Source organism: Homo sapiens, chromosome 12 (assembly GCF_000001405.40).
Source record: "Homo sapiens chromosome 12, GRCh38.p14 Primary Assembly".
NCBI classification, from domain to species: domain Eukaryota; kingdom Metazoa; phylum Chordata; class Mammalia; order Primates; family Hominidae; genus Homo; species Homo sapiens.
The window spans coordinates 21,658,784-21,685,118 of record NC_000012.12 but is presented as its reverse complement, the minus strand read 5'-3'; the positions used below and the strand labels follow the sequence as shown (position 1 = coordinate 21,685,118).

Genomic DNA, 26,335 nt, shown 5'->3' with positions numbered 1-26,335 from the left:
CACCTGTAATCCCAGCACTTTGGGAGTCTGAGGCAGGCAGACAGCTTGAGCTCAGGAGTTCAAGACCAGCCTGGGCAACATGGTGAAACCCTATCTCTGCTGAAAATACAAAAATTAACCGGGTGTGGTGGTATATGCCTGTAATCCCAGCTACTTGGGAGCTGAGGCAGGAGACTCGTTTGAACCCAAGAGGTGGGGTTTACAGTGAGCCGCAAGATGGTTCCACTGCACTCCAGCCTGGGCACTGGGAAACAGAGTGAGACTCCGTCAAAAAAAAAAGAATTCCTATCTTTCAATGATACTAACATATTTACAAATAAAACTATGTCTTTATTTTGCTATTAAATGACCTAGTATGTTGGAGGAAAGTAAATAAAGGCAGAAAGGAAAAAGGTAACTGGAACTGGTGATGTATATATTGGAAGTAGTTACATAACTCTATTTTGGTGTACATTTGAAAATTTCCATAATAAAAAGGACAAATAACATTGAAATCTTTACTATTAGCCTACAAGGACCTGTATAACCTGGTCCATGCCCACCCTCCTCATCTCATCACTCTTCCCTTGCTCATTCTGTACCAGTGACTTTGACAGCCTTTCTGTTCTATGAATATGCCAAGCTCTTTGTCTAGAGAAATATGTAAAGAAATAATAACAGAATTTTCCAAAAATTTTGAAAGACATCAAACAAAGATACAAGAAGTGAAAGGAGGCAGTAATTATTTGCCACTTTTCAATTAATTCTAATATCCTTAGCTTGTTAAGGCACTCCATTCTGTGAAGACCTTCCACTCCAAACCCAACCTAAATCTGCAGTTGACCACCTGGGTGGACTTCAATGGAGAATAATCTCCTCAATCCCATCCTGACTGACTGGGTTTTGCATCATCTGTGTGACCCCAGAGACCAGCATTAGCAAGCCTCAAGTTAGAAGTTTTTAGCAAATGTAGGTTCTGTGATGCCTTTGAGCTAAGGTGCACTAGATGATAGGGGAGTAATAGTTGTTTCTTATTTAATTTGATGTGGAAATAAGAATGGAATGAAATGGCTATCAATACAATTTCAGAAGTCTTCTAAAGGCACTGTCTTCCTTGATGGTTCTTATTGCAAGGCAACTGATCTGAAGTAGACTGAAGAGGGAGGCTGGCTTTAGAAACAGAGACTAAAAAGTGGGGACACTGGGCCAGGTGCAGTGGCTTATGCCTGTAATCCCAGCACTTTGGGAGGCCAAGGCAGGCTGATCATGAAGTCAGGAGTTCAAAACCAGCCTGGCCAGCATGGTGAAACCCCATCTCTACTAAAAATACAAAAAATTAGGCTGGCATTGTGGTACACGCCTGTAGTCCCAGCTAGTTGGGAGGCTAAGGCAGGAGAATTGCTTGAACCCAGCAGGCAGTGGTTGCAGTGAGCCAAGATTGTGCCACTGCACTCCAGCCTGGGTGACAGAGCATCTCAAAAAAAAAAAAAAAAAAAAAAAAAAAAGTGGGGACATCTGAGTTACTTAAGAGTGAAGAATCAAGAGAACTTAAGTGAAGTACAAAAGAACAACAAAACAAAACAAAAATAAGAATAGGAAACAGAGAAGAAAATGACTGCAAACTAGATTCTTTAATCCCCAAAGATTCATTTATAGGAACACAAAACAAATTTTACTTTTGTGTTCAGGGCCAGCCATAAAGATCCGTCCTTAAAGAGAGTGAGACGAAGGGCACATTGCAACAGAAAGGTGGATGCATACAGAGTTATATAATTTTGCAGCCATTCCACACACCTTGGCAAGGGCCGATGGTTTCAAAATCCAAGAATAGCTCCACATGTGATCTCTGACTGATTGGGAAGAGGAATATGCCTGGCATGGCAAGAGAAGAGCACTCCCAAAAATGATGAGCAAGAAAATCATTTTCTCTGCTAGAAATAGGTCAGAGAACTTTCCAGTGATGAGATCTGGAGATTCAGAAATCAATGGTGGTCACTATTTTGCTGCTTTTTAAAAGGCAGAGGGCTGTTAATACCATTCATCTCATTTATTCAAACAAACACATTATTTGAAAATACATTGTTTTCCAAGCCCTGTACTAGACACAGAGAATACACTACTGGGCAAAAGAGGAATGGATTCTGAGGACAGGTAGAGTATCCCTTCTTTCTCTATCAGTAAGTCAGTTCTCCAGACCTATTTACTGAGAGGCCAGACAAAGGATTTTTCTAGGCTCACCTTTCTTAGCTGCCTCTTCTAACAATCCCTGTGAAGTAGAGTTTAAAGTTGACTGAGTCCATAAGAGATTAATGTACAGTAATTAAGGATGTAAAACAATGTTCTCCAATGGCCAGAATTCTTTACTCTGCAGAATTTATGATATATGGCAATGAAAATAACTAAAACCTTCAAAAATTTAGTACTCAAAACAGGACAAAAGAGCTAGATGAAACTTGTCTGCTTTACCACCACTACTATAGTCACTTTAATCCCAAGATAGGTAACTCAAGATTGGCTTCAGCTGTTTTGTCTAGGCTGAAGGGCAATTTATATTATGAAAAAAAAATGACAGTATCAAAGAATAAGTTCAGTTGTCTGCTTTATTCCATAAATATAAATTAAGCCATTAAAAGTAAGTTAGCTCCTAGAAAATGAGCAGCTTTTTGTCTGTGAAAACTGGTATCAAAATTAAAGAAACAGGAAAAAACAGCCCCACTTAACAAAAAAAGATACAATATCCAAGAACCATTAAATGCTCAGATTATGAGTAGATACTTTTCATCCAGAATTGATGACCAAGCATGGGTCAGGCTAGTCAAATACTCCTGAGGTTCCCAGAACATATCTGGGAGCAGAATATCCCAGGTAAGTGTGAAAGCAATGTGCCAACAAAGACTTTCGTTCCTCAAATGCCCCAGCACTTTAATGTTGAATTGTGATTTTTTTCTACTCTCAGCTTTGGCCTTGTTTTTGTGCCTGTACCTGCTTCAGACAGATCTTCACAAATAGTGCCTTTGGTCAGTTAACCATAGGTGGTATGAGGTCTAGATTGCGCAAAACTAACAAGAACTTGAAGACAACTATCTTATAAAACTGAAATCAAAGGGCTTAAAGGACATTCAGTTTGTTGATAAAGTAGATATCACCTTGTAGAAACTCAAAAGGCCATATATAAGGAACATGAATAAACATTTTTATTTATTTATTATTTTTGTTTTTTGAGATAAAGTCTCACTTACTCTGTCACCCAGGCTGGAGTACAGTGGCTCAACTCACTACAACCTCCGCCTCCCCAATTCAAGCGATTCTCCTGTCTCAGCCTCCCAGGTAGCTGGGATTACAGGCACCCGCCACCACACCTGGCTAATTTTTTTTTTTTTTTTTTGAGACGGGGTTTCACTCTGTCGTCCGGACTGGAGTGCAGTGGTATGATCTCGGCTCACTGAAACCTCTGCCTCCCAGGTTCAAGCAATTCTCCTGCCTCAGGCCTCCCAAGTAGCAGGGACTAAAGACGTATGCCACTATGCCCAGCTAATTTTTGTATTTTTAGTAGAGAAGGGGTTTCACCATGGTGGCCAGGTTGATCTTAAACCCCTGACTTCAAGTGATTTGCCCACCTTGGCCTCCCAAAGTGCTGGGATTTAGGTGTGAACCACCGACCATGCCTGGCCTGATTTGTTTGTTTTTTGTCATTGAGATTGGGAGGAGGGATAGGAGTTGGTGTTTAAAGATATCACCTAATCATTTCCTTGCATACACAGGAAACATAAAACACAATTTTCCCTCATGTTGGAAGTTGAGTGCTCTCAGGGCATAGAGTGAAGGAAAGTCCTCATTTTGCCCTAAGCAAATGTTTCCTGGGTATGTGGCTCCAAGGGAAGATGCCAATGCTAAGTTCTCTAAGAGTACTAGCAAAATGCTTCTTGCACATCATAACTGCTTCATAGCTATCTCTTCAGTACTTTTTCCCTGGTGATCCCTAACCAAGGCTCCCACAATGGGAGCATCAGAGCTTGCACATTGGCCTTGCAGAAGCTATACCACCACCACCACCACACAAAAGACTTGGATTAAGATCCCAAATGCCTCCCCCAATAAGAGCCGTTTCAAATCTCCAAACTATTGTCTTTATTATCATAGTTTCCATAAACAACCGTAATTAAATGCATACTAGGTACTAGTGTTTTACATTTAGTAACGCTAATCTTCAGAATTTTCCAGTTTATAAAAGAGTTAACTGAGGCTTAGAAGGTTTAAGCAATTTACCTAAAACTACAAAGTTAGCAAGTAGTGGAGTCTTGGTTGAACTATATGTCTCAGTCTTAAACTTATCTTCTTAGTAACTCGACGTCTAATGAGAAGATAAGCAAAACAACAATTTTAAGCTTATGAAAATCAATAAAAAATCATAAATTAACAGAAAAATACAAATTTTCAGCACTGCTGCTACATTTTCCAGTTCCCTTTGTCTCTAGCTGTGAATGATTTCACGGAAAGAATAGAGATGAATACGTTCGGACTGAAATAGAAAATGTTGGAAGCACTCATTTAACATTGTGCACAGTATTTCTAGAGAACTTCCAGCAGGTGGCAGTATTTAAGAACATTACTGGTAGTCACAACTTTGGCAGCTATTGCTGCAAAGAGAGATTGGGTGTCAAAAGTCTTTTTTTTTTTTTTTTTGAGACGGAGTCTCGCTCTGTGGCCCAGGCGGGAGTGCAGTGGCGCAATCTCAGCTCACTGCAAGCTCCGCCTCCCGGGTTCACGCCATTCTCCTGCCTCAGCCTCCCGACTAGCTAGGACTACAGGCGCCCACCATCACGCCCGGCTAATTTTTTTGTATTTTTTTTAGTAGAGACGGGGTTTCACCGTGTTAGCCAGGATGGTCTCGATCTCCTGACCTCGTGATCCGCCCGCCTCGCCTCCCAAAGTGCTGGGATTACAAGCGTGAGCCACCGCGCCCGGCCCAAACAAAAGTCTTTAAACTTCGGCCCAAACTTGAATTTCCAGTTATTTTATTCATTGTCCTTGGAAAGTTTCAAGAGCTAAAACATTACCTTTTTCTTATAATTGTTTAATTTGAGGTTCACTTTAACTTGCAGATATGGAACAGTGGTTTCAATAAATTACAGTAAATTTAGTTAATCTTACTTTGGAAATTGTGTAAGGTCTTTGATGTTGTTCCAAATATCAGTTCCTTCCCTGGAATTTTGTGGCCTAAGCCTCAGAGCAGTATTCAAATGGCTGTTATTTTGTATTGTTTCTTAAATATCTAGAAAATATGTGAAATACAGGGTCAGGCTCTGTTGACAATGCACAGGAATCGTTCAAAAGGCTTACATTATATGCTTGGCCTAGAAACAAACAGAACAGTTTGCCACATTTTCCTAACAGTTAAAACCTCTTGCAAACTATTCCACATTCAGCATTTCTCTCTGCTCTGCAACACTCATCCCTCAGTCCTGTTTAGCAAACCATATACCTTCTGTGATCATCACTGTTGTTCCCACTTCCATCCATTACACTCATTCTCCCATTTAAAAAAATTTCTTGCTTTACTCTTTTTCAATCCATGTACACACCTTGCTTCAAAATACTTTTTACGAAACATTCCCTAGGCATCATTCCTTGACTGCTTCTGTGTTCTTCTTTTGCAACTGTGTATTTTCTTGGAATGTATAAAATCAATTTTCCCATAATGTACATGTTGTATATGTTTATCTTGCAATTTTCAGTTGAACATGTGTCATAAGTATAGGTAAGCAAGAAGGAAGATTTTACCAAAGAAGAGAAAGTTGTCAGTTCATTAAGACAAAGTCCATTATGTTTTCTTTTCTGTATGGTATCTCTCAGAATTAAACTCATCCATTGTATTATTTTCTTCCTGTCAGTTTCATTGCCAGAGTCATAATAAACTTGAAATGCTCTGACATAATTAACTAGCTGGGGAAAGGAAGAACATAACTGTCAGTTAATTTAGGAAATGACTATGCTTATCATTGCTCAGATAATGTGTTTGTGTCTCACACACATTCTCATTTCCCTTTCCTTGTAGGTACATCGTGACAGGCAGAAAAAATCAATCTTCTGTTAGAAATAGTTCTGTAACTTATTTTTCAAACAAACTAAAAGGACTTTAAAAAAACAGCATTGAAAGAAACTAAGTGTGGTTTAGGAAGAAAGGAAATACATTTCTAACCCAATTTATGCAGTATAGTTTTCCCCCAAGATTACCTACTTACTTTCAAATACATGCTAACAGGCTGTGTTTATACAGCCCACACATAGATGAGGAAAGCTTACACAGTAAACTCCCCAGCTTCTGGGAGGACTTTGTGGCTCAGTAAAAATGACAGAAGGATTCCATGGAATGATATAGCTCTATATCCTAAACACCTTTAATCCAAGGGTTTATATGAATTTGTACAATAGCTACTAGGTATAAAAATAGTGTAGTCTATGCGTCCTGGAATAATCAACCAATATGAAGCCACCAGAAATGTATTCAGCTGGTAAATGTATTACCCTTCAGATGGGTAAAGTGTTTCTCATGCATTGGCAGTGGAATGCTCAATGTTTGGGAATGGCTGGAATAAATAAGAGGTTTTTTTAATCCTTCCAGAGTTATCTGTATTTTAAAAGTTTATAACTAATGAAGTGTCCATGTCTTGAGTTTGTGTGCACACGCACATGTGTGTGTGTGAGAGAGAGAAAGAAAGCAAGAAAGAGAGAGAGGGAAAGAGAAAGAAAGAAAGAGAGAGAGAGAGATCCTTTTTGGGAAACCACTGATGAGGCTATCTGGACTCTCACCCTGGGAAAATGTCCACATGCATATACGCACAATTTTATATAAAATTCAGAGGTTTTATGGGTTTACTCAAAGGTTAGAAAGACTTACATCAATTGACATGACTTTAGGCAGTGCAAAAGTTAAACTAAAACTCTTCAGGAAATAAAAATATTAGGCACATAAGACATTCCCTGGTTTAAACACATAACACACACACCCACCACACACACACAGCCAGAGTTCTTGAATTCAGTTAGGAAGATGACGCATCTAAAGTCATCATTAGCTACCTCACACAAGCTCTGACAACTCCAAATTGCTCCTCTCCCTAGTTTACAGTTCGGCATTCCAGATCTCAGTGTTTTTGCTCCTGCTCACCTCCTCTCTCTCCTAATTCAGCTCCACCTTAAGAGCACAGACCCTGTCTTTCAGAAAGCCTCACCTGGCTGCCTAAACCCTTTCTGTTCACAGCAAGGCCAGATGCCCCAGATATCGCCTGCACAATAACACATCATTTCATGTTGAAACCGGAAAAGTTCCCTTGTCCCCCATGCAGGGCATGAGATGGGGGTGTGGCTCACTTTTTCAGGTGCTCTTTTATTTTAGCCATCTGTAGGCAGCCTGCGTTAGCTCAATTAGACTCCCTGCCTTATCTCAAGGACAGAAGGCTTTCTGTACCCTGGGGTTTCTTGCCTTGGTGTACCCGAAGAATTGGATCTCACGTGGGCTTGGAGAATGAATGCAAGGTTTTATTGAGTGGAAGTAGCTCTCAGCAGATGGGGGAGCCAGAAGGGAGACAGAGTAGGAAGATGGTTTTCCTGTTGGAGTCAGGTCACTCAGCAGCCGGGCTCTCCTCTGACCACCCCGTCCAAACCCCACGTTGTTCCACCTGTCGATGGCCTGCTGGTGCCTGTCGATGTGCTCTCGACGTCCAGCTGCTTGTGTGTTCCTCCGCCAGTGTGCTCCTCTTGACGTCCAGCTGCTTGTGTCTCTGCCTGGTAGGGTCTCAGGGGGTTTTATAGGCACAGGATGGGGACGTGGCCGGCCAGGGTGGTCTTGGGAAATGCAACATTTGGGCAGGAAAACATAAATGCCTGTCCTCACCTAGGTCTGTGGGCGCAGGCCTGGGGATGGAACCCTAGCCGGGAACGGAACCCTAGCCGGGGACCATAGCCCTCCTCTACCTAGCACTTCCCTGCTGGCCTTCCGTATCAATAGGGCCTCTAAACTGTGAGCGATTTGAGTACAGGAACTCTGAGTTATTTAATTCTGTGTCCTCAGATCTTAACTCAGTGCCTGGCACTGAGAAATGTTTTTGAATGAATAACAGTGCACATATGCGTGTGATACATGCACTCAGTATTTAAATTCAGGTGGCTTAAAGTTCACAACCCTTGACTTTGTGTTCAAGAGAACTTGAAACAATACCACAGCCTTTGAACAAGCTTGTTTAAAAGGAGCAAGTACTCATGAATAAATTATCTTCTGTCTCACTTTCAGCAAAGTATACTTTGAAAGGAAATGGGCCAGTTCCCTTATAGGTGAGTTCTCAAGTGGTCAGTTTTTGGTATGTGAATTTTTATGATAAATATTTCCCTTTCCTTTTCATTACACTATTATCGTTGTATAAAGAAGTGTACCTGTCTGTGGCATAAAATTTAAAAGATATCAAAAGATAAACAACACAAAGTAACCTTTCTTCCTCCCCAGAAGCAACCATTTGTAGTATTCATTAACCTTTCACACAGAGTCTAGGCATATTAAAAAATAAATGACATCTTTTGTTACATTTTAAGACATACATTCAGAGAAATATTTCTCAATATTTGACAGCTGCCATAAGGAAGAAATAGCATGTAGAGGTGCTTCTTCAGAGACAGGCTGAGTCTAAGGTGCCTGTAAGGATTCCAGGCAAATGTATCCAGAAGATAGCTAAAATAGAGGTCTGAGACTCAGGAGAAAAGGTCAGGTGGTAGCCATCAAGGGTAACAAACTGTTGATGCCACTGGAATGGTGTAATAGCTCAAGCACCATAGACTGTGGGTGAGATGCTGGCATCACACTAAATCCTAGGAACCACCAATATTTAGGACAGATGCAAGAAGAGCTAATAACCAAACCCAGGAAGTCTAAGTTAGGGTCACCCTAACGGCAGATTTAATAGCAGTAGATTTTCAAAATCAAAGGAAGAGAAAATTTTACACTCTACTCTTTAAATTACACTGATATGCACTAAAAAGGCCAGTATTGTGAATACTGAAAAGAGAAAGTATCAGTAGTTCAGTGAGATGAAAAAAAAAAGTATCCATCAAATACCTATTGACGATTACTGTGTGCTAGGAATGTGGGAATATAATAGGGAATGGTACTGTCCTTTTACAGGTTCGAATTTCTGTGAAATTGTAAGTCTGCAGGCATGCCCTAAGATGATCTTTCTTCCACATGGCTGGTGGAACATTCAAAGTGGAGAGATCAGTCTCAGGTTGCCCTGATGTGAATCATCCACTTACACTTAGGAAGATTTTGAAAGCCTTGTAAACATGTATTTTCTAACCTGTTCAAACTTGGGTCTAGGAAGAGAGGTCAGGAATGCATCAAGGTAAACATGCAAAACATATCAAAGAATAGGAGGAAGAGAAGGAGGAGGGGGAGAAGGAGCATTGCCAACGGGTCTGAGGCTTCCATGTTCTCATATCATCTTCATTCATTGGTCTGTTTAACAAAAAAGGAAGCCATTGTAAAGATATAGAAAAACCGAAACATTTTTCCTACTCTCTACTGTCCACAACACAATCCACATGGAACACTTCTGTGACCTCTGGTCTGGTCTCCAAAATGTGTGAGGATTTCTCTTAACCAGCAATGAAGCAATTCTGACACCAGGTATGTGTAGATTTTCCCCACGCCACAAGCAAACAAGCAACTCTGCAGCAGAAACCAGCTGAGTGTCCTTTAATTCTATTCAATTCTGAGACTATTTGCCTAGAGATAGCATCAGATCCCACAGAATGAGGGCTCAGTCCCACAAGACTGCCCTCCCACTTCCGATGCCAACCAAAAGCCCCAGGTTATTTTACCCGTGCTTCTGAGCAACTGGCTATAAATCAGGATTCCCACGCTCCCTCCTCAGGTTTGATTAATTCGTTAGAGCAGCTCACAGAACTCAGGTTTATTTACCAGTTTGTTATTAAGGATATTACAAAGGATATGGATGAAGAGATACATAAAACAAGCCATGTGGGAAGGAGAGTGGAGCTTCTATGTCCTCCACAGTCATGCCACCCTCCAAGAACCTGGAAAGTCTCAGAACCCAGTCCTTTTTTGTTTTTATGGAGCCTTCATTACAGAGTCATGACTGATGAAACCATTGGTGATCAACTAAACCTTCAGCCCCTGTCCCCTCCCTGGAGGTGGCAGGGTGTGGGGAGAAGGCTGAAAAATTCCAGCCCTCTAATCCTGCCTTGGTCCTGAAACTACCTAGGACCACCAGCCACCAATCAACTCATTAGCAAACAAAAGGACACATCACTTTGGAGATTCCATGGATTTTAGGGGTTGTATACCAGGAAACAGGGAAGAAGACCAAATACACACTTCACAATATCACAACCATTAAATTATTTCCTATAATATGTCTTGAACTCTTTCACACACTGAAGATACAGAGATGACAGATGAGCCTCTAGAAGTTTGCAGTGTACAAGTAAATTAGCAGACTATACCTGCTGATATTGAGAGGTGACAGCGCACTGGCAGCCCTCACAGCCCTCACTCGCTCTTGGTGCCTCCTCGGCCTTGGCGCGCCCACCCTGGCCTCGCTTGAGGAGCCCTTCAGCCCACCACTGCACTGTGGGAGCCCCTTTCTGGCCTGGCCAAGGCTGGAGCCGGCTCCCTCACCTTGCAGGGAGGTGTGGAGCGAGAGGCGCGAGCAGAACTGGGGCTGCGCAGAGTGCTTGCGGGCCAACGCGAGTTCCGGGTGGGCATGGATTGGGCTGGCCTGCACTCCGAGCGGCTGGCCGGCCGTGCCGGCCCCGGGCAGTGAGGGACTTAGCACCCGGGCCAGCGGCTGCGGAGGGTGTGCTGGGTCCCCCAGCAGTGCCGGCCCACTGGCGCTGCGCTCGGTTTCTCCCCGGGCCTTAGCTGCCTCCCCAAGGGGCAGGGGCAGGGGCAGGGCTTAGGACCTGCAGCCCGCCATGCCTGAGCCGCCTCCCCCACCCCCACCCCCACCCCCACCCCCACCCCCCAGCTCTGTGGGCTCCTGTGCAGCCCGAGCCTCCCCGATGAGCACCGCCCCCTGCTCCACTGCGCCCAGTCCCATCGACCACCCAAGGGCTGAGGCGTGCGGGCACACGGGGCGGGACTGGCAGGCAGTTCCACCTGCTGCCCAGGTGCGGGATCCACTGGGTGAAGCCAGCTGGGCTCCTCAGTCTGGTGGGGACTTGGAGAACCTTTATGTCTAGCTAGGGGATTGTAAATACACCAATCGGCACTCTGTATCTAGCTCAAGGTTTGTAAACACACCAATCAGCACCCTGTGTCTAGCTCAGGGTTTGTGAATGCACCAATCCACACTCTCTATCTAGCTACTCTGGTGGGGACTTGGAGAACCTTTGTGTGGACACTCTGTATCTAGCTAATCTAGTGGGGACTTGGAGAACTTTGGGTCTAGCTCACCGATTGTAAACGCACCAATCAGCACCATGTCAAAACAGACCACTGGGCTCTCTGTAAAATGGACCAATCAGCAGGATGTGGGTGGGGCCAGATAAGAGAATAAAAGCAGGCTGCCCAAGCCAGCAGTGGCAATCCGCTCTGGTCCCCTTCCACACTGTGGAAGCTTTGTTCTTTCGCTCTTTGCAATAAATCTTGCTGCTGCTCGGTCTTTGGGTCCACATTGCCTTCATGAGCTGTAACACTCACTGCGAAGGTCCGCAGCTTCACTCCTGAGCCATCGAGACCACAAACCCACCAGAAGGAAGAAACTCTGAACACATCCAAACATCAGAAGGAACAAACTCTGGACACGCCACCTTTAAGAACTGTAACACTCACCGTGAGGGTTCGCGGCTTCATTCTTAAAGTCAGTCAGACCAAGAACCCACCAATTCCGGACACAGTATGAGTAGGTATAGTGTGTCCCACCGCTCCCAGGGGCCCCTTTTACATGCACAAGTGCACAGGCCATGGCCCAGACAGATATATGTAGAGGCAATAAAGGTCACCCTTCCCCGTTTTGGGGTAAAGAAATGATACAGGGAATTTTACACTAGGAACTATTAGTCCTTTCTTGGTTGCAGTTATAGGGCATATCCTGCCACTTTATCTAATCTGAGCTCTACAACAATCCATTGCTATGTGTAGAGATGAGGAAGGTTAAGAAAGATGGCACCATCTATTCACTGTGACATAGCTAATCATGGGAAAGCCTGAATTTGACTCCAGACACTCTAACAGAGAACATATACTTGTGATCATCACCCTTGCTGCTTCCTATAGTTGCCTATCACCTTGACCAAAGCATTTGGGATTAAACAATATGATTCTTATTTATGGGGTGGAGTGAAGGCAGTGAGGGTAGAGAGCCAAAGATAAGGTTTGAGACTCTTTAGAAACTTAGAACAGTTTTCCACAAAATGTGTACTTTGGAAACCTGTATCAGAATCACTTGGATATTTATTAAACACACAGTCTCTTGAACTCCACCCCATACCCACTGATTCAGAATCTTTATAGGGTATTTAAGAAATATTAGTTTGAACTGTGATACAATAGTATTTAAAATTCCACTACTATAATTACAAAATATTGAATGTAGTACAGTTTAAAGGAAAATTCAGAATTTCTGAAAATGCTTCTAAATATGCAAGACCATGCAGTCAGGCTGCATCTTCACCATCTAAAGCACCTATTTTATATAGGGAATTGAGAATTATTCACAAGGCTTGATTATGTAAAAAGGCTCTGGGGCCACCATAGAAACAATTCTGGGCTTGCCAATGTAAACAACTAGAAAACTGAACAAGACGGGAGAAACAGGTTTTTAGACATTATAAAATAGGCACAAGAATGTGATCCTTGAAAACTAGGAAAGAAGATGATCACTATAATTGCCTTGACTTTCTTCCTGAAGGGATTTTTTGGACCACATTGGAGGTATAAGTCCAAGCAGAACACTGCAGTGTCATTGAGTTGAAAAGACAGGGACTAGAGTTCAGAAAAGCTCAGGCAGCTGGAATGTGTGGGGTGCACATAAGACAGGAGGGCAGCAAAGAACCATTGAGAGGAGCTGTAAACGAAATGTTTCTAGAACCCAAAGGGAATCCAGAGATATTCAAACTCGGGTCAGCCATTAGTGTACAGATCCTGTTGAAGACCCAGGGTTTCAGTACATCGCCCAGAAGTGTAAACCTTGGTAATACATATAAGCCAGTCATAGAGCAAGACCACTCTAGACCTGCTCTAACAGTTTAAAAACAAGCCTCCACAGCATCAAGCTGATCCACAAGTAATTTAAATGTCTGTCAAACAAACTTCCACACTCTTTATAAAATACAGTAAAATCTAGATACTTAACTTTCAGAAAATGGATGAGAAGGATATACTTTCCAACTCGTCTTCAAAGGCCAGCATTAGCCTTGTAACAAAATCATCAAGAAGTTACCAGAAAACTACAGATTAATTCTAGAGATCTAAGATGTAAAAATTCTCAGCAAAATATTAACAAGTGAAATCCAACAAAATACTAAAATACTACCACCACGTGGCCCCACAAGTAGGGTTTATTCCAAGAATGCAAGGTTGTTTAATATTTGAAAATAAGTCAGTGTAATCAAAGATAAATACTAAATCATCATATTAATAGATACATATAAGATGTTTGCTAAATTCAGCACCTATTCTTAATAAACAAAAATAAAAACAAAAACAAAAGCACCCCCACTGAATTTAGTATCATACTTAATACTGACTTAAGGGCTTTCTCCTTAGATTGGGAACAAGAGATAGATGTCTACTCTCCTAACTGCTACTCAATAAAAGTGCCAGTGCAATAAAGGAACAACAAAAAAATTAAAAGGCATCTAAACAAGTCTGGATTGTTGAAGTTACACATGGAGTCACATAAGACCAAACAATGGCATGCTTGAGGAATGCACTGTTGCATCTCAGTGGTCTGGGGATTCCTAAGAGCAAGTCCATACCCCTATAAGTGTGGGGATGAGGTGAGGGCTCTCTGTCAACGAATGAGACTTTATCCCCACCTGCAATTACTCCCTAAATAATCGGGGCAGGAAATGGGGATTTTAGGGGCTCAGCTTAGACAGTGTAGAAGAGGAAACACCTTCCTTTCTCTGGAGTTTGTGAATCAGTGGCCTGGCTGTGTTCAAGGCTACTCCTTTTTGGAGGGAAGCAGTACCCTACAATTTGTAGTTGGGTCCAGAGCTAAGAGTGACATCTGCAGGGGAGCTTGCATCTGTGGACTCCGGTGTGGCTATCTATAGGTTCCAGTTTTAGGCTTTCTGTGTTATAATTCCCTTCTGTTCTTCTTAAACTATCTGATAAATTTTAATAAACATTATAGCCTAATGTCTGCTCCCACTGGAGAGAATGATCTGTTATCATGCTTGAGGTGAAACAGGCCAAGGAAAAGCAAGTGGCACTTGGGAGAAGCTGGTCTCAAAATGGAAGAGGGGACCTGCAGGAGAATGAAGCAATAGACTGAAGCCCTACCACTGATGGAGACAGGGAGCGATAACAAGGACTGATTTGAGAAACACTGTGCACATTACCCAGGAGTTCCCAAACACAGCTGGAAAGCAGAAAAGTGGAAAAATGACTAAAATGTCTTTGGTCTTATGGGATAGAGGCTCTAACTGTTGAAACTAGACATTAAATGGAAATGTGACGTAATAAGCTAATGAAGGCTAAAACTCTTGGGCCATGAGATATAATTCTGGAGATTCCATGCATAGATACCACTAAGAGACACAAAAGGGCTTGTTTTTACTTTGTTTTTGCTTTGCCAAAGGCCAAAAGGAGAGGAAAGAAAACCATAAAAGTTATGGTTAAAGGGAGCCTATAATAATTCTGAAAGAAACAATCCCACATACCATAATTCCAAATGTTGAAATCTTAAAAAAGATCAAAATCTTGAAAATATAATTCTGGTAAAGATAATTTAAAATTATTTAAATAACATTTATTTATATTTTAAAAGGATATTTGAGAAAAAAAAGAATATTTCATAGACCACTTTACATAATAAAGTAAAATATTTTTATTATGTAAAGGTCTATTGTAATTATTTTATTGTGCAAAGATCTATTGTCATAGACCACTTTACACAATAAGATATGTAAAATATACATATTTTTGCAAGCATAAACACTCAGCTATAGAGTCTCACGGGTACAACAGTTATGAGCAGAAAAACCATATTCATAAAGAAACAGGTCAAAAAGCAAAATGTATAAATGCATGTCACCATGGTTGGTAATTGTGTGCACTTAGTTTTGTAACTACAGTCATCTGAAGTACCGTGAAGGACAACATAAGTCTTTTGACAAGACGAATCAAAGATTGTGATGGGTTGCCACCGCATTTGCAGTCTCCCAAAGAGCCGAGACCTTGTGAAATTTTATCTTTCACAAATGCATATGTACAAAAAGGACATCTTTTCATTTATAGAGGAAGCTTCAATGTTTTTATGTTGAGAACCAGGGAAGCAAAGGTACCTCTCAGTCTGAGAGCGTCAGGACCTGGGGGACCACTGATGTAAGTTCTGGAGTCCAAGAGCCAGCAAGTTAGGGGTTCTGATGTCCAAGGCAGAAAAAGAAAAGTCTCTACTCTCAAAGATACCAATTTGCCTTCTCTATCTATTCTCTCCAAGTCCCTAGCTGATTGGATGGAGCCGCCAACATTGAGGGCAGATCTTCCCCACCTACACCACACAGGCTCACACAGCAATCTCCTCTCAAAACATACTTGCAGATACTCCCCCAGAAAATTCTTTACCAGGTTTTTTTGGTATTCCTTAATTTGGTCAAGTTGACTCCCAAAATTGAGTCCACAAGTTCACCCCTTGTCAACTTGGCACCCACATGCATCTCCTTAATCACCCACACTTAATTTTTTTTTTTGAGACAGAGTCTCACTCTGTCACTCAGACTAGAGTGCAGTGGTACGATCTCAGCTCACTGCAAACTCCACCTCCTGGGTTCAAGCGATTCTCCTGCCTCAGCCTCCCGAGTAGCTGGGATTACAAGGCACCAGCCACCACACCCAGCTGATTTTTGTATCTTTAGTAGAGATGAGGTTTCACCACGTTGGCCAGGCTGGCCTCAAACTCCTGACCTTGTGATCCACCCGCCTCAGCCTCCCAAAGTGCTGGGATTACAGGCATGAGCCACCACGCCCGGCCACTGAATTTTCAAATAAGAAAATAACAAGATAATAGTTCCACCAAACATGATGTCGTTATAATGTGATCGTGATTTTGGGGGGATTTTAGACTTCAGGGATTTGGACTTTAGGGATTTTGATTTTTCGGGATTTCAACATTCAGGATTATGGTATTCAAGTCTTTCAGGATTATGATCCAAACTCATGAGAAAACATCAAATTTATTAGTTCAGAACAACAATAATACAGGCACACTTGGTTTCTCAAGTCACCTGCTTGGTCCTCCTTCCAAGTGTGCTTTTCTTCCTTTCTTTCTTTCCTTTTCTTACTGTTCTAAAGGTTTCTAATAAAGTTCCACTCCTGCTCTAAAACTTGCTTTGGTCTCTTTCTTTGCCTTGTGACCCTCAGTCAAATTCTTTCTAAAACCCCCCACAAAAAAACAAACAATATATTTTTTCATAGAAAGTAGAAAATCTCCTTGTCTGGTAGCAAAACTGTGATTTCTAGGTTATTACCAGCTGTGTGTGTGTGTGTATTGACCATGCTCTTTCACTAGCTCATTATCTTCAGTACTGCATAGTGGTTAAGAGTTCTGGTTCTGGGATCTTGGAACTTGACTTTTGGGTTTGAATTTTAGCATCACCACTTAGTAGCTTTGTGGTCTTAGCCAATTTATTTGACCTCTCGGTGCCTAAAATTTACCAACTGTCCAATAGGGAGAGTTTTAGCACCTAGTTTAAAAGGTTCTCATGAAGATTAAACACGTTATCATATGCTAATTTAGGCAAAGCACCTAGCACACAGTAATAAACTTTAGTAACTTTTAAACTCAGTAAATTTTAACAATTTTTATTAAATTCTAAACCAGTAAGAAAAATATACATACAATGCTATATTATTCCTCACATGATCTAAGAGACCCAATATTTGAAATTAGGAAATATAATTTGCCAAAAGTAAAGCTATCATTATGAACAGTAAGTTATTTACATCTGAAAAGGATTGGTTAGAATCTTATTGTTTACTAACAAAATTTCAACTATATCTTTTATTTTTAGGTTGTGGGAGACAGAAAGGACGCATATTAATATGTTAAAGACAATTACCCCTAGGCAGAGGAATCGGGGTATGGGGAAAGTAAGGACTTTTGCTTTCTTACACCTTCCCGTATTTTTTCAATTCTTTATAAAAGATCATGAATTATTTGGAGAATAAAATTAAGATAATTAAAGTGAGAGGATCTGACAGTATAGTATCACTTAATTAGCCAGAAGTTGGATTGTACCTTCTGCCTCTGGCTTTACAATGCTTCTTTTGCCCCGTTACACTGTAATCCCTATTCATTAAATACTATTAGACATTTGTCTCAAGGTCAACATCATGAGTACACTTTTGACTACACCACCAAGATTAAACAGAGCCATTCAAAGCACCTAGTATGACATCTAGCCATAGTAGATGTCAATAAATATTAGCTCCCTTATGTTCTACTCCCCAGTGGCACCTATTTTTTATTTAACAAATTTCATTCAAGTAATATCAGGGCTGGGAGTGATGGCTCATGCCTGTTATCCCAGAACTTTGGAAGACCAAGCCAGGAAAATGGCTTGAGGCCAGGAGTTTGAGATCAGCTTGGACAACATAGAGAGACCCCCATCCCTAAAACAAAAAACAGGAAACAAAAAAATCAACTACAACATCAGAACTCTGGATTTTAGGGGCTACTTTTGGTTCACCTGTTTTCAAATTGTTTTTTGTTTGTTATCACTTTTTATTTTCTTTTTTGCCATAGGCCAAAATCAGAGAAAACAAAAAGAGACACTAAACTTTTATATTTATATACACAAGGCTTTTATATTTAAATACAGATGAGTGAAGTGTTCCTTGTCATATTTCTGCTTAGGAAGCCCCAATGAGCATTTGGAGAGAAGGGTAAACACAGCTGCCTGGAAATGGCTTTTAGAAACCCATTAAGCTGACTGATTTCAACCACTGGTGATGGATGAGGGTAGGAACAAATTCCTTCGTGGTACACGAGAACACTGCAAGAAGTTACATTTTAACCTGTCTGAAATAATGAGTAAGACATAATAATTAACGTAAATGCTCAATCCACTCTCAGAATGCCTGAGGCAAATGTTCTCTCCAACGTTTTCTACTCTAAAAGTAAAATAAACTCCTGAGTCCACTGATATTGCCTAAAAACCTAGGTAGTGCCTGATATATTTTTAAGTATTTTTAATATTTACTTTCTAGTTAGAAAAACAATCTATCCACAATGCACAAATTGCTTAACATGAATAAATGTGTATTTTTAAAAAAATACTCATATTAATATTAAAATTGCTAAAATTTGAATAAGGTCCCTAGTTTAGCTTACAGTAGTGTACCAGTGTTCATTTTCTGATATTAACAAGCTCAATGATAAAGTAAGTTGTTATTATGGGAGGAAGCTGAGTGATGGATACATGGGAACTCACCAAACAGTTTTGGCAACTTATTCTGAGTTTAAAATTAACACAAAATAAAACGTTTTTTAAAATCACCCTTACTTTTAGTATTTTGATATTATTAAAGCAAACTAAATATGGCCCGAGAAAGACTCCATACTTCTATATTTGAGTCCTTGTGGATGAACTGTAACCTAGCTTAGTAGTCAGACAAAATTGAAAACGTAACTTCAGAGTATGCATCTGTAACTATAGCTAAGTCTTGGCCATTCCAGAGGCCATACTTCAACCATTCATACACTGATGAGTGTTAAAACTGTGTTCAAATAAGGCAAACACCGAGCTGTAACCAATCCAGCCATTCTGTACCTCACTTCCAATTTCTGTACGTCATTTCCCTTTTTTTTTGTCTGTAAGTCTTCTTCCACCACATGGCTGCGCTGGAGCCTCTGTGAATCTGCTGAGATTTGGGGGGGCTGCCCGATTCGCAAAACATTCATTGCTCAATTCAACTCCTTTAAATTTAATTTGGCTGAGTTTTTCTTTTATCAGTATTGAAATAACAATGACATTGTAATTTCAAACTGGTCAAAATAATACATCAGTTAGGACCTCTTTTATCGTCAGTGAAGTTTGCTTACCTAAACTAGCCTAGGGACGAGGCTGCATTATGTTGCCTTTTTTTTTTTTTTTTTTTTTTTTTTTTGAGAGAGAGTTTTGCTCTGTCACCCAGGCTGGAGTGCTGGAGTGCTGGAGTGCAGTGGTGTGATCTCGGCTCACTGCAACCTCCGCCTCCCAGGTTCAAGCGATTCTCCTGCCTCAGCCTCCCGAGTAGCTGGGACTACAGGTGCCCACCACCACCCACCATGCCTGGCTAATTTTTATATTTTTAGTAGAGACAGGGTTTCACCATATTGGTCAGGCTGGTCTTGAACTGACCTTGTGATCTGCCCGCCTCGGCCTCCCAAACTGCTGGGATTACAGGCCTGAGCCACTGCGCCCGGCTTACGTTGCTCTTGATGCAGAAACTCGAATGCCATCACTGGCTTCTCTTTTGCTGTCTCTCGTCTTATTCCCCTTGTTTGGCTCCAGTTTTAGATAGGTTTTTCCTTTGGGAAGCTTTGATGTATTTAAGGAGAGGAAGAGATGAGAGGATAGAAAACCCCGAGGCTGTTTTCAGAAGTAAAGTGAATAGTTGCTAAGTAGAGAAACAAAACAAGAAGAATGCTCACTTTGGTAGAGGAGCAGATAATGGAAAGTTTAAAAAATGTGAAAGTATACACAACCAATAATCATAGTTATACAAATTTATAACAAAACATCACTTTTTTTCCTACTGCCTCTATAATTGCAGAAGAGAACCAAATACCCTTTTCATCTGACAAACTGGACAAATAAAATTTAGTAATATGCAATATGATGACAGTATAGTAAGACATATGCAGATGGGGTTTGGAATCAAAGGGTACAGCCCTTCCAAAAAACTGTTCTACTCTTTTACCCAGGAATTTCACTTTCAGAGACCTACCCAAGCAATGACAAATACAGATGACTACAATGTACAATGATATCTATACAACATTATTTATCATAGTAAAAAGCATAATGTCTCAAAATATGGGAACAGTTAAATACATCATGGTGTTTCTGAATGATTGAATATTTAGTAACCATTTTTTAAAAGGAAACAAATCTGTATAAATCTGTATGTTAAGAATGATCCGGCGGGGTGCAGTGGCTCACACCTGTAATGCCAGCACTTTGGGAGGCTGAGGCGGGAGGATCATCTGAGGTCAGGAGTTTGAGGTCAGGAGTTTGAGACCAGCCTGGTCAACATGGTGAAACCCTGTCTCTACTATAAATACAAAAATTAGCTGGGCATGGTGGTGGGTACCTGTAATCCCAGCTACTCAGAAGGCTAAGGCAGGAGAATCGCTTGAACCCAGGAGACGGAGGTTGCAGTGAGCACAGATTGCACCACAGCACTCCAGCCTGGGTGAGAGCGCAAGACCCTGTCTCAGGAAAAAAAAAAACAAAAATTTAAACACAGAGAGAGAGAGAGAGAGAGAGGGAGAGAGAGAGTCTGCTTACTAGTTGTGTGATCTTGGTCAGGTTATTGACCTTCTGTGATTCAGTTTCCCCATATCCTTAAAATAAGAAAAATAAAAGTACCCACCACATAGGGTTGAAATGAGGATTACGTAAGTTAATATAAGTAAAGTAAGCATTACTTATACTTGGTTCATGTGAGCACATTATTACATGCAGTTAATGCATTGCATGCCTGGCACATAGTACTATTTTCAATAAATGAAAGCTTTACACAAATCATATAATACAAATTCCTGGATGTGTATTGCTTTGCAGGACTCTAACAAAACTTTAGTCAAGTGAACTCTAGGGTTTTCTAGCAAAAAAATCTCAGTAATAACACTTTCCACCTCACAAATTAATGTATATTTAAAGGACTAGATACTCATGCATATTTTAAATGAGCACAGGGAGAGAAAGGAATCAGCAGCTGGACTTTCGGACTACAACTCAAGAAGTCAGAAAGAATGAGTAGTTGCTCTGAGGATCAGGACTGGGGATGAGAGAGAGGCGGCGGACTGTTTTTTTTTTTCCTTTATTTATTTTTTTTGATACAGAGTCTCACTCTGTCACCCATGCTGGAATGCAGTGGCGTGATCTCAGCTCACTGCAACCTCCACCTCCTGAGTTCAAGCGATTCTCCTGCCTCAGCCTCCTGAGTAGCTAGGACTACAGGCAAATGCCACCACACCCAGCTAATTTTTTTTTTTTTTTTTTTTTTTGAGACAAAGTCTTGCTCTGTTGCCCAGGCTAGAGTGCAGTGGCATGATCTCGGCTCACGGCAACCTCTGCCTAGGGAGTTCAAGTGATTCTCCTGCCTCAGCCTCCCGAGTAGCTGGAATTACAGGCGCCCACCACCGTGCTTGGCTAATTTTTGTATTTTTAGTAGAGATGCGGTTTCACCAGCTTGGCCAGGCTGGTCTCAAACTCCTGACGTCGTGATCCACCTGCCTCGGCCTCCCAAAGTTCTGGGATTACAGGCATGAACCGCCGCACCCCGCCCATGCCCGGCTAATTTTTTGTATTTTTAGTAAAGACGGGGTTTCACCATGTTAGCCAGGATGGTCTCGATCTCCTGACCTCGTGATCCACCTGCCTTGGCCTCCCAAAGTGCTGTGATTACAAGCTGGCCGGGACTGTTTGTTTTATTACCAGCATTTGCATTCTGATTAACCTTTTATTTTCTAAAACATAAACTAAACAAATAAAAAAAAATCTGTGTTTTGAAATGTGTACAGCTAGAACATAGAAAAGCTACTATCTCCTTCAGGATCTCTGATATAAGAAAGTAAGTATTTGCAACTGCAGTCCTTGGCACCAGAAAGGATAATAGTTCATGGTTCCAGGAAGGGGAAATATAGATGCCATCAGACGACTTCACACAATGCCCAGAGAATGTAGACTAGGTGCTTCTGTTCCCAGAAGCAGCACCCAGACAATGAGAAGAACACCATGTGGAAAGAAGTGGGGCAGTTCTGGTTTCTAATGGGCTCTGCTGATCTTTCAGCTCCTCTGCCTGAAAGCTCACTTTCAGACAAAAACTATGAACTTCAAACTGTGTATAATTCACTATACATGCATATTTTATTCTCTGTATAACTCTAGCAAGGCTGAACCCCTAGCAAGTCAAAGGCTTACCTGAGGTGCCCTTCCCAGATTTATCATGTCCCCCGGGTAGTGCGTCCGGAATTGGTAGGTTCTTGGTCTGACTGACTTCAAGAATGAAGCCGCCGACCGTCGCGGTGAGTGTTACAGTTCTTAAAAGCCGTCGCGGTGAGTATTACAGTTCTTAAAGGCGGCGTGTTCGGAGTTTGTTCCTTCTGGTTGGTTCGTGGTCACACTAGCTCAGGAGAGACGCTGCGGACCTTCGCGGTGAGTGTTACAGCTCTTAAGGCCGCGCGTCTGGAGTTGTTTGTTCATTCTTCTTGGTGGGTTAGTGGTTTCACTGGCTTAAGGAGTGAAGCTGCAAACCTTCGCGGTGAATGTTACAGCTCATAAAGACAGTGTGGACCCAAAGAGTGAGCAGCAGCAAGATTTATTGCAAAGAGGGAAAGAACAAAGCCCCCACACCGTGGAAGGGGACCACAGCCACTTGCTACTACTGGCTCGGGCAGCCTGCTTTTATTCTCTTGTCCGGCCCCACCCACATCCTGCTGATTGGTAGAGCCCAGTGGTCTGTTTTGTCAGGGCACTGATTGGTGCATTTACAATCCCTGAGCTAGACACAAATGTTCTCCACATCCCCACCTGAGTAGCTAGATACAGAGTGTGGATTGGTGCATTCACAAACCCTGAGCTAGACACAGGGTGCTGATTGGTGTGTTTACAAACCTTGAGCTAGATACAGAGTGCCGATTGGTGTATTTACAATCCCTTAGCTAGACATAAAGGTTCTCCCAAGTCCCCACCAGAGTCAGGAGCCCAGCTGGCTTCACTCAGTGGATCCCGCCGGTACCGGGCCGCGGGTGGAGCTGTTTGCCAGTCCTGCGCCGTGGGCCCGCACTCCCCAGCCCTTGGGTGGTAGATGGGACTGGGCGCAGTGGAGCAGGGGGCGGCGCTCGTCCGGGAGGCTTGAGCCGCACAGGAGCCCAGGGAGCGAGGGAGGCCCAGGCATGGCGGGCTGCAGGTCCCGAGCCCTGCCCCGCAGGGAGGCAGCTAAGGTCCGGCGAGAAATGGAGCGCAGCGCCAGTGGGCCGGCGCTGCTGGGGGACCTAGTACACCCTCCGCAGCCGCTGGCCCGGGTGCTAAGCCCCTCATTGCCTGGGGCCGACAGGGCCGGCCGGCTGCTCCGAGTGCGGGGCCTGCCAAGCCCACTCCCACCCGGAACTCTAGCTGGCCCGCAAGCGCTGCGCGCAGCCCCGGTTCCCGCTCGCGCCTCTCCCTCCACACCCCCTGGAAGCTGAGTGAGCCACCTCTGGCCTTGGCCAGCCCAGAAAGGGGCTCCCACAGTGCAGCGGTGGGCTGAAGGGCTCCTCAAGTGCCCCCAAAGGGGGAGCCCAGGCAGAAGAGGCGCCGAGAGCCAGGGAGGGCTGTGAGGACTGCCAGCACGCTGTCACCTTTCAGTAGGAGACAGCAAGAAAGCATCTTTCCATAAGTAGAATAAATATAGTCAAAGTTTTTCCATGACGTTTTTCAGATACCCAGAGAAAACAGCTTGCAAGAGCAAGAGATAAAAATGTATCCATATTCATAGCTTTGAGCCTAGGTATTTTTTACCGATAAACTACTTCTAAACATCTGTCATTCAAGCACATTAGGGACGTACTGCTTAGCACAAACTAGTCTATATCCAAGTAGACACCACAATGAGTCAATTCACAGTTATTAGTATGATTTAGAATTTAACTACCTGTCTTCTAAAAAGAACAGCTAACATGTAAACGGAAAAAGGTACTCTATGTTACAACTATCTAATGAAGGGCTAGACAATTAGAATCGAATTATTTTGCTTTTTGAGACATTAAACCCTCAGTTCTCCTTTTTCCCCACTAGTATTATTTTCTCTCCCTGGAACCTTTTTCTTCTTCTTGTTAGAGATACCCACCAAGGCCAGTTGCTGTCCATTTACAAGCATATATTGCTATTATAGTAATACCTCACCTACCTGAAGCTCAGCTTCAAGGAACTTCAGCTCCTCAAACTATTCCGAAGAACTAGGAAATAAGGAAAATGATGTAAAAGAATCTATGTATCAATGAATGTCTTTCAAATCCTAACTCAGGGTTCATTTACTCATACTGTGCCTCAAGTTTAATAGGTATCTGCTGGGAGATATAAATGTATCTTGTCAGAAATACTATGCTACTTGGAGATATAAAAGTGAATAAAGTACCCTCAAAGAACTTACAGTCCTAATAACATTAGCTAATCTGGTTTTGTGGCTACCGAAGAATAAAGACAGCAAAATAGAATTTACAAAGAATCCCACAGAAAGGCACACAGATAGCTGCAAGACCAAAATTATTTTTGGTTCTATTCTTAAATCACAGACTAATTTGAGGCCAGTCACTCAAACTCTAGGCATTCATTTGGATTAGATTATTTTAAAGTTCCTATTTTGTTCTCCAATTCTATGAATACAGTTTTAAAACAGTTCACAATCTGACAACAGGAGACTTTTTTTTTAAGGCATGAGAAGTCAAAAAACACAGCAGTATGGAGTCATTTACTATAGGAGTGAATTACTCCATCTTCTGCAACATCATAAATATTGTTGACAACAGCCCACAGGCTGGAAAAGCCCAGACGGGCAACTTGTATGTTGTTATGTTTACATCCTTTATCTAATCATTTTAAAATTCATTGACTTGTTTATTATCTATGATCCTCCACCAGAATATATGTTCCTCATGAGCAGGCATTTTATCTGTCTTGATCACTGAAACAGTGCCTGTCACAGAGGAAGTCCTCAATATTTTTTGAAAGAAAAATATTCTCCTTTTGACAAATATTGTTTTGACAATTTTGGACATTAACATTCAATTTTATAACTACGTTTCTGGGAATTATTTGTCCTTATCTCTAAATTAATTGGTTTAGCCATCATTGCCTGTATTTTTATGCCATAATTCCCCCCTTTCTTGGATTCCTAATTTTGCTTATTTTTCAATATGTTGGCATATAGTTTCCCAATGATTTTTTTCAAAATAGAATGGTATGGGGCATATATTTTCTGGATCATTGTATATATAAAATTGTGTTTTACACATAAAAGATAACTTGCCAGGGTATACAATTCTCAACTATTTGAGAGGGGTAGTATGCTCTCCTGGCATTTAGAGTTACATACTAGAGCATTCACTTTGTTCAATCAGATTAGAACACCTTGTGGCGAGGAATGGAAATGAGGGTAGAGGAGGGAAATAGATACCTCTTTTCATTTTTTCCTACCTCATCTCCAAAGTTACACAGTAATGGGGATGGCAAGAAGAGGAATAAGTGGAAAGATATTTAGAAGTAAAGTCTAAATATCTGACTTGCAAAGTAAGTGAAAAAGAAATCTAGGGTACCTTCTAGATAACTTGCTAGGCTGACTTGGCTATTCTTGCTTCAAACTTGGATTTAGGGTTAATGTAATACTTTTGAGATTATCCTCCAAGCTCTTTTCCTCACCATCACATTTTAATTTGTAATTGGACTGTATCTTCAGTCAAAGTCCCCACTAGCTGAATGATTTATGCTAGGAGAGTTTGAGGCTTATGAATTCTTCTCAACAAACCCTTCTCTTAGTGATTCTTTACTCTGAATTTTTATTGTACTTTAACCAAATTTCTATTGCCACTTATTGTAATTGAAATAGGTTGCCTACTTGTCTGTCTCCAATGGACTAGGAACACCTCAAAGGGCATAATCTTATATTTATGTTTTTTACCAATGCTTGGCACTGAGAATAAACTGAAGCAATAATTATAGAATTAGTGGTCATATACAAGAAATATGCATTTACAAAAAAAAACACTTCACATACAGGAAGTTTGTGAGATGGCTATATTTGAAAGCATTTTAATTATAAGAAAACAGAACTGAAGCCAGACTCTTCAGAATTCCTCCAATTTATCATTCATTCATTTATTCATCAATGCTATATTTAGGTACCAAGCACTGGCTGAGTGTTGAAGACAGAATG

The 26,335-nt window shown here is 41.6% G+C and overlaps 1 long non-coding RNA gene across 1 annotated transcript in view; it reads right to left on the bottom strand.

Annotated features, from left to right (window-relative positions):
* The window catches only part of KCNJ8-AS1 (KCNJ8 antisense RNA 1), a 166,949-nt gene extending 144,143 nt beyond the window's left edge, over positions 1-22,806 (bottom strand). The window contains exon 1 of the long non-coding RNA XR_007063241.1: positions 22,348-22,806. This is a non-coding gene — a long non-coding RNA (KCNJ8 antisense RNA 1). The remainder of the gene's footprint in view (positions 1-22,347) is intronic.